This window comes from Homo sapiens, chromosome 12, assembly GCF_000001405.40.
Source record: "Homo sapiens chromosome 12, GRCh38.p14 Primary Assembly".
Taxonomy (NCBI): domain Eukaryota; kingdom Metazoa; phylum Chordata; class Mammalia; order Primates; family Hominidae; genus Homo; species Homo sapiens.
The window spans coordinates 42,156,873-42,172,384 of NC_000012.12; the positions used below are offsets into that span (position 1 = coordinate 42,156,873).

A 15,512-nucleotide genomic window follows, 5' to 3' on the forward strand; every position below is an offset into this window, starting at 1 on the left:
AGAAGTCAAAGCGTTCTTTTACTATTATTTTCCTTACATACGCACTCACTTTTCTGCTTTCACTTAATTTTCAAAGTACAGTGCGGAAACTTCTACCAATGACTTACTAAATAGCTCAGTTCCTACATCAAGTCCTTAAAAGATTCTGGAAAAGAGGTAAGTAGCAGAGCAAAAAAGTATCTCAATCCACTTTTTTTTTTTTGCTATAACAGAATACCTGAGACTGGGCAATTTATAAAGAAAACAGATTTATTTTGGCTTATGAGTCCAAAGGCTGAGGAGTCCAAGATCAGGGAGCCCATCTGATGAGGGCCTCATGCTGCTTCAACTCATGGTGGAAAGCAGATGGTGAACTGAGGAGGGCAAAGAGAACAGAACACAAGAAGCATCCTCACTTCATAACAACCCACTCTTGTGAGAATTCATCCATTCCTGCAAGAGCGAATCCATTCCAGAACTAACTGAGCCTCATGAGAAAGCCTTTAATCCATCTCAATGACCTAATCACCTCTTAAAGGCACCACCTACCAACACAATCAAACTGGGGACTCAGGCCTCAGCATGAGTTTTGGTGAGGACAAACCATATCCAAACCATAGCAGGAAGTTTAAAAAAGCGAGTGGCGGAAGCCTCAGTGGAAACGAAAACTTCTAGACCATTTACCATTAATGCAGAGGCTACATTCTTTCAGTCTATAAGGATCTTTATCTAAAAGTTAATAAACATGCTATCAACTTAGAAAGGCTGAAGTTTCTCTTCCTTTTTAAATGTTTTCACTTTGTCTATTATCCACTATCATTTTAGGAAAGCATTTAATAAAAATAAAACCTTTATTTCTATTGTATAATACAAAAGGTTTTAAGAATATTCTTCTGTGCCTCAAATTATATTCACTTTTTAAATATACATATATATATATATGTATATTCAAATTTTTTCATAGAGATGAGCTTTCACCATGTTGCCCAGGCTGGTCCTGGGCTCAAAATATCTGCCTGCTTCAGCCCAAAGTGCTGGGATTACTGGCATGAGCCATCACACCCGGCCTATCTTCACTCTTACTTATAGCAAAGTAAGGTAATAAATGCTGGAAAACATCCAAATTCTTTTTGTATGGAATTTGGCTAAAAGAACCCAGTGCTCAAACCACACTGTAAGTTCATGAAACAGAGAAAAACATGTACCCTAAACCTAGGTTCTGAATCTTTCGCATATTTTAACGTCAGTTCTGTTTATGGAATTTGGGTCTGTTTTCCTGGTGTGGAAGTGTACTTGAAGTAGGGTGAAACAAAGGCAGGTTGAGATACCTGTGATTAATAAAAGTAAAATAATTTCAAGTCAACTTAATTCATTTCTCCAATCTCATAGTGCACACCCACCAGGTTCTTTAATTATGGAAAGATGGTCTTTCTGCATCCAGAGAAAACATCTGATATTACACTGAAAATTTAGTGAAATCTATAAAACACTATTACTTTAGGTCATCCAAGAGGGCAGGAAAATAACTGTTACAAAAAATATTTTTGTATTTTTGTAATGGGATTTTACCTATAACAATGGTAAAAGCTCACATTTACTGAGTGACCAGTATGTGTCAGATAATTAAGAATTTTACACGGATTGACTTAATCCTCCCAAAAACCCTATAAATTAGATGTGATTACCATTATTAGCCCTGTTTTATAGATGGAAAGTAAGCTTGGGTAATTTAAGCTCATTTCCATTCTACAACAGGATTCAAACATGAGGTGTCAGTTAGCACGCTTAATCTCCATGCTACACCGTGTTCCCGTCTATGTAGAAAGATGAGTATCTTCCCACCTATGTAGAAATATGAGTATGCTCCATTCAGGTAAAATCCCATCTCCTGTCAGATTTTTCTCTCTTGCAGCTCATTTAAAATACATCCTGAAAGTTATTTGATCATAAGATGTAATTCCTTTAAAGCATAGTTTTTGACTTAAAAATTAAATATTTTCCCTATTACATTTTTAAATTTTTACTATCTCCAAAAATGTATAAAACATTTGAAACATGTTAAAAACAGAATAAGACAAAAAAATTCATGTTTTAAAGGAACATATCTGGTTAGCTGGTATTCCATTGAAAGTATCTTATAATAAACACAAATTTTAATTTTTCATTTAACAACACTAAAGAATGAGGTATATAAATGTTTTAATCACAGACTTTTACTGTATGCAATTAATTGTATTTCACAACTAGCATCTTACAAAAAAGACAGTACCACTGTGCCTGTAAAAAGTACTGTAATTAAACAGAAAATTACATTACCACATGAAACCACCAAATATCACAACTGTTAGGGTCTACAGTTTTATTTTTTCTTCAAATGTTATCATGATGTCTTATGTGATATTTTGCATCCACATTCTATTTTTAAGTTCATTTACAATTCAGAAGTCTCCTTTAGGTAGATATATATTAAGCAAATGGTTAAGAGAAAGCAGGAGACCCCAGGAGAATTTAAGTACTGTGTGGTTTCTAGGTTGAAATTCTAAATACAACATAAAACTCTTTAAATAGTTGTAAACAAAAATGCAAAATCTGTAGTCATAAAAATATTTTATTGGTAATTTTACATAGTATAAGTGGGGCTATACTTTTTTCCTTTCAGGATACTGAGAAATGTGTAAACTGGCAGCTGTGTCTGAAAATAGGGTACTATGATTTTCATAAGAATTATTGTATTTAATAAGAAGCCAATTTGACTGATTTAAAATTAGTTATTTCCCATTTCTGTGCAATAATTCCCATTTCTGTTTTAATTAGATTCATACTTCTATGGCCCTGGATAAGTTTGGGACAAGAAAACAATGATAAAACTATCATTAAGTTAAAGCTTTTCTAAAATTGCAGCTTGTAAAATATGGCAAGTTTCTTTTCTCTTGTTTTTGCCAAATGCTTATAATTATTTGAATTTTAATGTTTTATATGATACAGAAAATACCAGTGTTCAATGACAATAGCACTAAACCTGAATTATAAAGCTAAATAATCAATGTTTTATTGTTTACTAGTCCGCTAGTAAACATTACAATAAATGAATGTTTTGAAAAATAAGCAAACAAAAAAACCTCAAAAAATAGATAAAACCAGAAACATAATTCAGGAACAATAATTAGTAAAACGTGTCAAAAACATTGGCAAAGGTTCATACAAATTCTTTATTTAATAACAATTTTCCTATTTAACCACACCAAGTACCAGCAGGTGTATTTAAGAGGATAACCATTAAGAAAAACCTGTTGCAGCAATAGTTAAGTTGTTCTTTGACTTGTATACATATAACTATCTGTTTCACAATTCTCAAATAATACATATTTAGGCAGCTTGCACTATGTTATAAAAAATTTAAATTCGTTACATGCCAATAGTAGAGAATTCAAGAATTATGTGTTAGAATTCACTAAACTAAAAGTGAAAATACACTTACCAATAACACTGCATAATGAATAATTCAACCACATTTTCATGGCACTTAACTGCAGAGACCAAAATGTTAAGTCTGGAAATGTTTGGTAGGCATCATTGCAATAAAATCTAACAAATTCTAACAAATTTCTATTTTATGTAAAACTCAAATTATGGATTGTGCATGAATGTATCTGTCATGAAAATGTGGTACCTCTTGGCATAATCTGTGTATTTGCATGGTAGGACAGAAGTGACTAAGAAATTGGAGAAAATAAACTTTAATGAGATTCTCCATTCAATGATGAGGCTTCTCCTCTGGGTGAAGATGACCTGGACATTCCTCTCTCTGTGTTATCAGAGCTAGAGCCGCTTTGACTGTGTTGATCTGCAGAAGCAGCACTAGATGCAGGCGGTGACTTTGTTTTCTCCTTAAAGTCTGTAATAATGACTGTCAGATCTCCAACAGTAACTTCCAAATGCTGAGCACTACTCCGATCCACATTTTTCAATCTTGGCCTAAACATAAAAAAATGAAATTTTAAACTAGCTTTTCCCTCTACCAAATTTCTGAGCATATAATAAATAATAAAAGTGGTAAAAGTAACAAAATGAATACATGTATTTAAGGCAATTTATGTGTAACTAGCCACAAAAACATCATAAAATGTTTCAACTCATTAACATTAATCAAACCAATCATTCATGAACATTCTTCAATGCAACCAAAAAACTGTGACAGCCTAGAAGTAGAACTTGTGCTTCTATAGCTGTATCATAATTTTGCAGACAGCTTATTAATTTTATTAAAATAGATGTTTTAGACAACAATGAAATAGTTGCACCATGGAGGAAGGTGATAAAAGCTAAGGTTGAGCTATATGCAAGGAAGACTGTTACTCCACTGACACACACTAATAAGGGTATCATGATTGTTATGACTGAACGCATGACCATTTTGATAGGTTAAAACCCATGCAATTATCTGTTCGGTATGTTGAAAACCACTCCTGGTTCAAATAGCTCTTCTTAAGGGAAAAACAAAACAAAACAAAACAAATCCAGACACAAATGTCTTCCAATCTCGTAAAAAGAAAAAAGCATCATCACATTTAAGCTTGTATTTCTGGCTTCTGTGTTTAATTTCCTATGTATCTTTCAAACTCAGTAAAACCTTTCCTGATACCTTATAATAAAGGAGACCAAATATTTTACTTCCACTTTGTGTATATTAGTATGTCAAGGTTAAAAAAATTAAATGGTTTTATTATTTCAAAAATGTCATAAAACACTCTTCACATTTACCTGGTTTTCTTATGGCTATTCTTTTTGCTAGTTGTTTCCTTTTCACTTTTTTCTTTTTCTACTTTATCTTTTTTCTCTTTCTTTGACTGTGTAGGAGGCACAAACTGCTGAGTAACCTGCTGTGCAACCAACTGGGAGACAGGTCGAGGTTTCCTGTGTGCATGTTAAAAAGAAAGGTATTTTAAATTACAACTTAAAACATAAGTGCTTTATGACAGAATATCTCACATTATGAAAACAAGTTAATAACAATAACTTTCAAGTATAAAAATTCCTCATATGTAAGGTAATTTAAATATACAATTTTAAAGATATGTATCAGTTTTTCCCGTTCAACAAAAATGGAACAAACTATAACAATTAAAATTTATAGTCTAAGATATATGCTCAAACATTAGAATACTGTTACGTAAATCAACATAAGAAATTATTTTAAATGTATATCAAAAAAAATGGGATGTACCCATATAAACATGAGTTCTAAAAATCAAACTTCAAAGTTTTCACTGAAATAATAATTTATCCCTCCTTCAGAGAAGGAAATACCTGACCATTTGTGACAATGGCTATCTGTTCTTTAAAGCTTTTCATTTATTCATTTAATAAACATTTATTATCAAAATTTCTCACTCCTTATTGCTTAAATCCTTTAAGTTTCTTACATCTCCAGCCACAATCTCACCATGCTCTTTTGACCCTGGAGATCTGCCCAGTCTTTTGAGACTCATCTACTTGCTAACTTACTCATTTAGAAAATATTTATTGAGGACCTACTGTAAGAACTGTTCAGGGATATCTGAAATGTTGCCTGGCTTCAACATCTGATGCTGGTACAAGCTTTCACCTGTCCAGCTTTGCCACAGAACTTGCACAACTGAGGTTAAGGTTCAAAATACAGTCTCTAAGTTCTTAAGAGAGAAAGAAGGATATAGCAAGGAAAGAGGCAGAGGGAAGGAGGGAAGAAGTAAGATAAAAATACATTTTAACAGATGCTCTACAAACAATGGTAACTTTATTGCCTGAAAAATCCTCACCCTTTTTTGGTTAGTACAGTTTTTAAAAAATCTTTTTTTCTCCTGTTCCTCTATGGCAAGACAACATAAAAAATAATGAGAAAATATTGTACAATCTAAGAATTAAAGCTGCATGGCTGAGAGAAAATAGGAAACAGTATGTAAAGCAGATATCAGGAGATGGATAATGAATTTTGCTCAGGGCCTAGACAGTCTGAACTACTGAAAGGATATCCAGGACAGATGTCCAATATACAACTTAAAAAATAGGACTGACATAGAGTTTGAGATGTAGATTAAGAGTTGCACAAATAAAAGTGATATTGAAAGTATGGTAGTTAATGGCTGAGGTTAAAAAAGAAAAGGGTTAAGGTGGTGGTTTTCAAATATAAGGTACATCAGAATCACCAAGAAGGCTTGTTTAGCTTGCTTAGCCCTACCCCGCAGGATTTCTGATTCAGTAGGCCTTGAAGTAGAGCCCAAGAAACTGTATTTCTAACTAGTTTCCAAGTTATGCTGATGTCTCTGGGGACCACACTTTAAAAAAAAGCTTGAGGAAATGCAATATATCTGGTGAATACTGTTACTACTATAAGATAAAGTTTGAGATGGAGAGCAGAGTGGCAGAGTGAAAAAAAACCAAGCTGGACAGATAAGAAGGGATCCCATGATTAAAAGCTAAGCAGTCTGATTTTATCCTTAAGTGATGATAAGTCACTGAAGAAATTCAGACTTGAATTTTACAAAGATTACTGGCATTAGTCTGAAATAGAAAGGTACTACACTACAGTAGAAGTAAAAATGTGAGACTAGTGGTCTAATAAATGATCATGTAATCTCTGTACCTAGTGTTGTTTGTTGTTATTTTCTAACCATCAACAAATTTTCTATAGTGGTTCTTTTTTTCTGTTCTTGAGTAGTTGCATATCTTTCTCTTTTTATCCTAGGCTTACCTAAATGTATACTACACAACTATTCCATTTTTATTCTTATTTTAATGTGAAGGTTGATTTTCACTTAAAGATTATGATTTTGTACCTCAATTCTATGATTATTTCATCTGGTTCAATTCTGAGAGAAAAGAAGCACAAAACATAAATGTATATAGTTCAATTATTCAAATAAAGTTCTCTGCTGCTCTCTAGGAGCTAAAGAGCTTTCACTGAAGGTAGGAGGAACACAGTTTATGATGATCTTTTTACAACATCGTAAGTCACTCAACTCCATGCCCTATTAAAAATAAAGCCCTTCTATCTCCAGGTATCTTAAGGTTTGTGATCCCTTTTCTATTTGATGAGAAAAATCAGGATAGGAGGAAATTTTAGAGGTAGGAAATAGTTAACTCAGGAAATAAAGGGCAGAGTATCATTTATAAAATATACCCTTTTATGTTCACAGATTTATCACTCATGGTTTTGACAGTACACTTTTAGTAATGCCAAAGGTTCTGTGATAAGGAGTTGATGTGCACAAAATGGTTGCCTAGTTAATAAATGACTACTGTCTAGCCACTGGCCAACTACAGTCCATCATCTACTTATTCACATATGCCATGATTAGACTGTATTTGTCAGATATGATATTCACCAATTTGGGGATCCCTATGTATCTTTCATAGATAGCCCAAATAGAAGGTATAAGTTTTGCAGTCTGTTGATTTACTATAATGTAAGAAAAGGGGGAACATTTTATTACGCATTAGGACAAAATATTTTTGGAGCTGGCTGACCTTCTGTGTGAGCAGGAGGTCAATACATGTTGGCTTCATATATGCAATTTTCAACTACGGTCTGCCTTCCACCCCCACTGACAAAAATCCCATGTGCTAAATATTAGAGGAATAATATTTTCAGCTTGATCAACTTCATCATAATTTAGCTTTGTCATGTTGGACAGGTAAGATGAAAGAAAGGAAAGAAAGAAAAAGAGTATTAAAAACAATGACATTCTTTACTAAAAAGAGGCAGCATAACTCAAATTTCAAAAGAAGTAATCTGCTTAGTAACACCAAAATATATGGTAAATTGAAGCGATATGGTAAATCTCATCAAAAAAAAAAGGCTGGACTAAATCCATACATATTGTGAATCTGTTGATACTCTGGCTAACAAACGCCCAAAAATCTAACCTAGGAAAGATTTTATAAAAAACCACCTGTTTACAACCAAGCGTGGTGGCTCACACCTGTAATCCCAGCACTTTGGGAGGCCAAGGCAGGCAGATCATTTGAGTCCAGGAGTTCGAGGCCAGCCTGGGCAACATAGTGAAAACCCATCTCTACAAAAAAAATACAGAAATTGGCCAGTAAAGGTACGCGCCTGTAGGAGGCTGAGGTGGAAAAATCGCTTGAGCCCAGGAGGTGGAGGTTGCAGTGAGCCACGATCACACCACTGCATTCCACCCTGGGTGACAGAGTGAGACCCTGTCTTCTGGAACAAAAAAAAAAAAAAAAAAGAAAAGAAACTACTTGTTTGATAAATTTTATTGCACATTTACATGTGTCAGGCACTAGGTAAGGAGATTAACCATGAACAAGACAAACATAGGCCCTGCCCTCATGCGCTAAAAATTAAAAACAAAAAAACTGTGTGTTGTGATAGAGAAAACAGGAGGAGGAGTTATTATAGACAGAGAGGAAATAACTTCTGTCCATGTTTAAATGGTCAGTATACCAGGAGAAACAGGTATCACAATGGACCCTTTTAATAAGAGAACAATGAAACGACTTCATTAAGCATTTTATTAAGACTTTAAAAGAGAGTAAACCCAATTTCTTATTCTATAATAACTTGGTTTTAAAGTTATCTACACCTCGAATGGCCAAAAGGTTTTTGTTTTTGTTTTTGTTTTTGTTTTGAGATTGAGCCTAGCTCTGTCGCCCAGGCTGGAGTGCAGTGGCGTGATCTCAGGTCACTGCAAGCTCTGCCTCCTGGGTTCACGCCATTCTCCTGCCTCAGCCTCCCAAGCAGCTGGGACTACAAGTGCCTGCCACCATGCCCGGCTAATTTTTTTTTATTTTTTATTTTTAATAGAGACGGGGTTTCACTGTGTTAGCTAGGATGGTCTCGATCTCCTGACCTCATGATCTGCCCGCCTCAGCCTCCCAAAGTGCTGGGATTACAGATGTGAGCTGCTGCGCCCGGCCAGGTTTTTTTTTTTTTTTTTTTTTTTAATGTAACTAACTCCTCATCAACTGTCATGCCTAATCCTATGAACATTCATCTTGTAAGTACTGATTCTTGGTTTTAAATTCTATCTATATCTATCTATCTATCTATCTGTCTATATCTATATCTATCTATCTATGAATGAGACGGAGTCTCACACTGTCACCCAGGCTGGAGTGCGGTGGCGTGATCTTGGCTCAATGCAACCTCCAGCCTCCTAGCTTCAAGCGATTCTCCTACCTCAGCCTCCCGAGTAGCTGGGATTACAAGCGTGTGCCACCATGCCTGGCTAATTTTTTATATTTTTAGGGGGTTTCACCATGTTGGCCAGGCTGGTCTTGAACGCCCAACCTCAGGTGATCCGCCTGTCTTGGCCTCCCAAAGTGCTGGGATTACAGGCATGAGCCATTGCGCCTGGCCTCAAATACATTTCTAATAGGTTTTAGCTTTTCTTTACTTCTACCACTTCTTGGACTTGTATCATAGGATGCTTTACTTTTGAAACCCTTGACAACTCATAATTTCTTGAAGAGACAGACATTCTCTCTGCTTCAGAATTACCATTTTCATTTGTAGATGAGGTACACATACCTACCTTTAGCATCTGTCCACTAACGAACTATCTCAAGTAAATTTTTGTGTCAAATATAGAAGATAAAGAATGTTTTCACATGTCTTTAAAGCAAAACAAGATGCTCCAAGTTCTTTTTGCAAAATATTGCATGATAAAATCCTTTCTGTTGAATGACTACTTATATGAGAAATCATATATACTTTTTGTGCTCAGAAATATTTGTTCACTTATCAATTACTGAGTTTGAGAAAAATGAACAAGGATATTGTCATCTGAAGACTCATGGTCTGAGATTTCCCTTATATGGTCAATTTCAACATCACTACAATTTTGGATGCCACTATCACTGGCTTTACACCATCCCCTGATTCATCTAGTAACTGTGAAACATCTTGTAAATCTTCCTGTCATTAGGAGCAGAAAATGAAAAATTCTGAATTCTCAAATGTGTTCAATGAAAGTTAAAAAAAAAAAAAAGGAGGGCAAAGACTACAAAAATACTGTCTCTACACTTTTGTACTTTCTGGGAAGATGATAAAACACTGGATTTTTTTTTCAAAATTGCACTATCCTTCTAGATGATGCCACCATTTTTCTGTTTTCTTATTATTTTGGTCTCTTTTTAATACAGTTGGAAATAACTAAGTAGTAAAGATAAAATAGTTCCTAGGAACAGAAAACCAAACACTGCATGTTCTCATTCATAAGTAGGAGCTAAACAATGAGAACACATGGACACAGGGAGGGGATCATCACACACCGGGGCCTGTTGGGGAGTGGGGGGAAAGGGGAGGGAGAGTATTAGGACAAATACCTAATGCATGCGGGGTTTAAAACCTAGATGACGGGTTGACAGTTACAGCAAACCACCATGACACATGTCTATCTATGTAACAAACCTGCATGTTCTGCACATGTATCCCAGAACTTACAGTAAAATAAAAATAAATAAAATAGTTCCTAGGATGTAATAGCAAACTATCTCAAGATATAGGAAAAAATCAAATAACTAAGATCCCGTTATATATGACAGAAATATAAAAGGGACCAAAAGGTCCATATGGTAATTTCAAAAAATAAATGTTCTCCTTCTTTGAAGACCTCAAGGAAAGAACAAAACATAAAGTATCAAATCTATAGGTAGAACCACTTGAAAAAGGACTCAAAAACTAAAATTGGGTCCAACTTAAGAAAAATCATTTGTGTATCTACATATTAAAACAATACACATATCCTGTAACTAATTATTTAAATATTACTGTATTAGAATTACCATTTTTGGTTCTTAGCTCAATGTTGAAAAATATAAATAGCACACAACAGAAATTCAATAAACGAAAAGCTGTTGAAAATTTCTGGCCAGGCTCGGTGGCTCACATCTATAATCCCAGCACTTTGGGAGGCCAACGCGGGCAGACTGCTTGGGCCCAGGAGTTTGAGACCAGCCTGGGCAACATGGCAAAACCCTGTCTCTATAAAGTTACTCAGGAGTGGTGACGCAGGCACATGCCTATAGTCCCAGCTACAGTCCAGGACAGTCAAGTCATCGTCTGGCTTTGTTTCCATACCTCGAGCTCTGACTGCATCCCAAGATTACTGGGTAAGCCAAATAAAATAATGAATGTTAAAAATGTATATACTGTAAGTTATAAAATACTTTAAGTAATATTTATGAATAATATACAAATATATCTTGATGGCATAATATTTTTAAATCTAGGATTCTGTTACACTTTTGTCTCACATAACTCCCACAACATTCCTGACAAACTTTCCCATCACGTCTATCTCAAGAAAAGAAAGACAGCATTTTTTTTTTTTTTTTTTTTGAAATGGAGCTTCGCTTTTGTTGCCCGGGCTGGAGTGCAATGGCGCACTCTCAGCTCACTGCAACCTCCGCCTTGTGGGTTCAAGTGATTCTCCTGCCTCAGCCTCTCTAGTAGCTGGGATTACAAGTGTGCACCACCATGCCCAGCTAATTTTTTTTGTATTTTTAGTAGAAACGGGGTTTCACCATGTTGGTTAGGCTCGTCTTGAACTCCTGACCTCAAGTGATCCACCTGCCTCGGCCTACCAAAGTGCTGGGATTATAGATGTGAGCCACCATGCCTGGCCGAAAGACAGAAATTTTATGTCATAAAATTTAAGCAGGGTGATTCAGTTTGAAGAGGCTTGGCTTCTTCCTTAAATTCTTTTCGGAAAAATGATTATCTTACATTGCACAAAATAAAGACTCTAACCTGGTATTTAGCTATTGTCCCCAAAACTATCAAAATCCTTTTTATACACAATTTCTCCTTTAAAAAAACAAGAACACTCCATTCACAGGAACAAGCCACTGTTCTCAAAGTAGTTACAGTAAGCAGAATCTACTATACAAACTCTAGATCTAAGGGCATATTTGCACATTTACATGTCATTTGGTTGAGATGGCCTGCCTAAATATTTTTTAAAAACTTAAAATTTTCTAATTAAATTTATAATTAGTATTAATATTTTAATTTACTAAGTTTAAAAACTCACAATTACCTTTTAAAATGTTGTAAATATTGTGGGGCTCATACCACCCCTCCCATCATAAGAACACTATACTCCTTTCACAGACATAGAAATATACTGAAGTCTCTCCCATCTAGAAGGAAAAAACTCCTCCCTTAATCCCTTGTTTACTTGCTCTTCCTTTCTCCTCTTCCAGTATTTTGAAAATGTCTGCTATTCTCTCAGTTGTGTCCTTGTCTTCACTTCTACCTTTCCAAACCTCTTTCCTATCCACTAAAGAAACCATACTAAGGTCACCAAGTATGCCAAAACCAAAAGACAGCTTTCAGTCCTCATCTTATTTGACTTCTGTGTATCATGACATTATTTAACATTCTCCTGCACCATAGCTACAAAGGTTCTACTTTCTTATTCCTCTTCCTACCTTCTCCAGTAAGTAGGTCCTTCTCAGTCATCTTATATCTAAACTGGCTCCTCTTAGAACTTCCTCTTCCAGCCCCTTTAATGTTGAGGTTACTTCATGCTGTTCTTAATCTCTTCTCTTTAATTTTTCTTTTCTTTTTTTTCGGAGACATAGTCTCACTGTCCCCCAGGCTGGAGTGCATTGGCACAATCTCAGCTCACTGCAGCCTCTGCCTCCTGGGCTCAAGCAATCCTCCCCTCTCAGCCTCCCAAGTAGCTAGGACTACAGGCATGCCCCACCACACCGGGCTAATTTTTGTATTTTTTGTAGAGACAGGTTTCACCATGTTGCCCAGGCTGGTCTCAAACTCCTGGACTCAAGAGATCCACCTGCCTCAGCCTCCCAAAGTGCTGGGATTAGAGGTGTGAACCACCGTGCCCAGCCAACTTCTTCTCTTTTCATGTTGAATACAAGCATTATTCTTGAAGGATATGGGTAATAATGACACTATTGGAGTGGTGGAGCTACAAGACTAAATTTTAGGAAGTAGCAGGGTTAGAGATATATAGTAGAAGAGTTTCCTTCCTTCCTTTTCTCTCTCTCTCCTTTCTTTTTTTTTTAAGACAGAGTCTTGCACTGTCACCCAGGCTGGAGTGCAGTGGTACAATCACAACTCACTACAGCCTCAACCTTCTGGGTTCAAGCTATCCTCCTACCTCAGCCTCCAAAGTAACTGGTACCACAGGCACGCATCACCACACCTGGGTAATTTTTTTATTTTTTGTAGAGATGAGGGTCTCACAACGTGGCCCAGGCTAGTCTCAAACTCCTGAGGTCAAGCAATCCTCCTGCCTCAGCCTCCCAAAGTGCTGGGGTTACAGGCATGAGCCACCAGACCCGGCTATGTTATGTGTTTTTGATAAGTCAGTCAGTCACATTACACCATAATTGTAGGTATGCTTGCAAGCTCCTGAAGGATTGTGTCTTTTCATTTTTGAAACACTGGTAACAAGCTCAGAGCCTGATAGGCATTCAACAAATGATTGCTGAATGAATTAAATAGCCCTTGTTCTCTCCTGAATCTTCCATCTTTCCCTTTTTAAAATAATAATTTATCTCAAAACATGCTCATTTATCTTGCGTATCTTAATGATAACAAAGAATACTTGATATCTGTGTTGGTTCCTGGTTTATATTCTGCTTCAGGGAGCTCATCCACTCTAAGAGTTCCATTTGTTTCCTCTATATAGAAAACTTGTGGCCAGATGCGGTGGCTCACGCCTATAATCTCAGCACTTTGGGAGGCTCAGGCAGGCAGATCACTTGATCCTAGGAGTTCGAGACCTGCCTGGGCAATATGGTGAAACCCTGTCTCTACTAAAAACAAACAAACAAACAAAAAACTATACACACACACACACACACAAATTAGCTGGGCATGGTGGCAAGCACCTTTAGTCCCAGCTACTGGGAGTAAGGGACAGGAGGATCACCTGAGCCTTGGGAGGTTGAGACTGCAGTGAGCCGTGATTGTGCCACTGCACTCTAGCCTGTAGATCCACCTCTCCAATAGTATCATTATTACCCATATTCTTCAAGAATAATGTTTGTATTCAACAAAAATACAAACATATTTCTTTCCCCTAATATCCGCTCTAAATGTTGAATGGTGGGAAGTGGGAGAGAGCACTAGAGCAACGTAAGTGGTCAGGAATTGTTTAGTTTTTTTTTGTTTTTGTTTTTAGACAGAGTGAAACTCTGTCTCCCAGGCTGGAGTGCAGTGGCGTGATCTCGGCTAACTGCAACCTCCGTCTCCTGGGTTCAAGCAATCCTCCTGCCTCAGCCTCCCAAGTAGCTGGGATTGCACGTATGTGCCACCATACCTGGCTAATTTTGCATTTTTAGTAGAGACGGGATTTCACCATATTGCCCAGGCTGGTCTCAACTCCTGACCTCAAGTGATCCGCCCACCTTGGCCTCCCAGAATGCTGGGATTACAGGTGTGAGCCACCACACCCAGCCAGAACTGTTTAATCTGTAATATTCTAATATTGTAAAGTAGGTAATGTACTATCCAGGCATAGTGGTGCATGCCTGTAGTCCCAGTCACTCAGGAGGCTGAGGCAGGAGGATCACTTGAGGCCAGGAGTTAGAGGGGCTGCAGTGCACTATGATCATACCTCTGAATAGCCACTGGCATTTCAGACTGGGCAACGTGGTATGACCCCATCTCTTTAAATTAAAAAAAAAAGAAAGAAAGAAAGAAATATGTTACTTGTAGAATTACTTTTAAAAATAAAATCAACTAAGCACTTGCCTATGATTCTTACAGACTACAAGCAAAAGGGCCAGAACTGGGTATATAACTCCTGATCATTTTCTCATTACAAAAATCTCATATCTGGCTGGGCGTGGTAGCTCACGCCTATAATCCTAACACTTTGGAAAACTGAGGTGGGTGGATTATTTGAGCTCAGGAGTTCAAGACCAGGCTGGGCAACATGGTGAAACCCCATCTCTACAGAAAATACAAAAAAAAAAAAAAATTGGCCAGGTGTACTGGTGCGTGCCTGTAGTCCCAGCTACCCAGGAGGCTGAGATGAGAGGATCACCTGAACCTGGGAGGTTGAGGCTGCAGTAAGCCATGACCGTTCCACTGCACTCCAGAATGGGAGACAGAGGGAGACCCTGTCTCAAACAAAAAAAGAGTTTAAAAACAAGTATTTAGGCTCCTCAACAAACCAGCCTCTAACTACATTTCAAACATTAATGCTATCTGTTTTTTATTCTTCCAATGCTCTATGCTCTTTCTATATTTGATTTAGTTGTGCAATGCTGGGAAAATCCTTATTCACACAGTTAAGTACTTACAAATGACAATCTTTTAACTTTAAATTCACCTTGAATCTTGGGAAGCTCTTCAATTAAAGTAATTTAGAAGCTTGAAAGAAAGATACAAGGACTTTTGAGTTAAAGTTGCATCATTAACAGTAGTTAGTAACCACTTACATTTTTATCATAATAAAGGACAGAAGTCGTACAAAATTATAAATTATTATAATTTGAAATCTCTTATATGCATCCATCTACCTGGCTACTAAGCCACAATGACAGCA

The 15,512-nt window shown here is 36.6% G+C and overlaps 1 protein-coding gene across 15 annotated transcripts in view, besides 1 other annotated feature; it reads right to left on the minus strand.

The window, feature by feature from the left end:
* Positions 1–231: 231 nt before the first annotated feature.
* The window catches only part of YAF2 (YY1 associated factor 2), an 81,145-nt gene continuing 65,864 nt past the window's right edge, over positions 232–15,512 (minus strand). For 10 of the 15 annotated variants that reach the window (NR_135140.2, NM_001190977.3, NM_005748.6 and 7 more), the window contains 2 exons: positions 4,741–4,893; positions 232–3,954 (listed from right to left, as the gene is read on the minus strand). Coding sequence is in view for 9 of the 15 variants with exons in the window: in NM_001190977.3 (NP_001177906.1) it covers positions 3,717–3,954; positions 4,741–4,893 (391 nt within the window). In the remaining 6 variants the exon portion in view is untranslated. Of the gene's footprint in view, positions 3,955–4,740; positions 4,894–15,267; positions 15,338–15,512 lie in introns of those variants that run through there. The other 5 variants (XR_007063026.1, XR_001748538.2, XR_001748537.2 and 2 more) reach the window with 3 other exon arrangements.
* Positions 12,322–12,522: a silencer, noted in NCBI's record as "peak1683 fragment used in MPRA reporter construct". NCBI's record gives its function as "represses an SCP1 promoter by STARR-seq MPRAs in K562 erythroleukemia cells {active_cell/tissue: K562}" and the evidence as "EXISTENCE:reporter gene assay evidence [ECO:0000049][PMID:32103011]".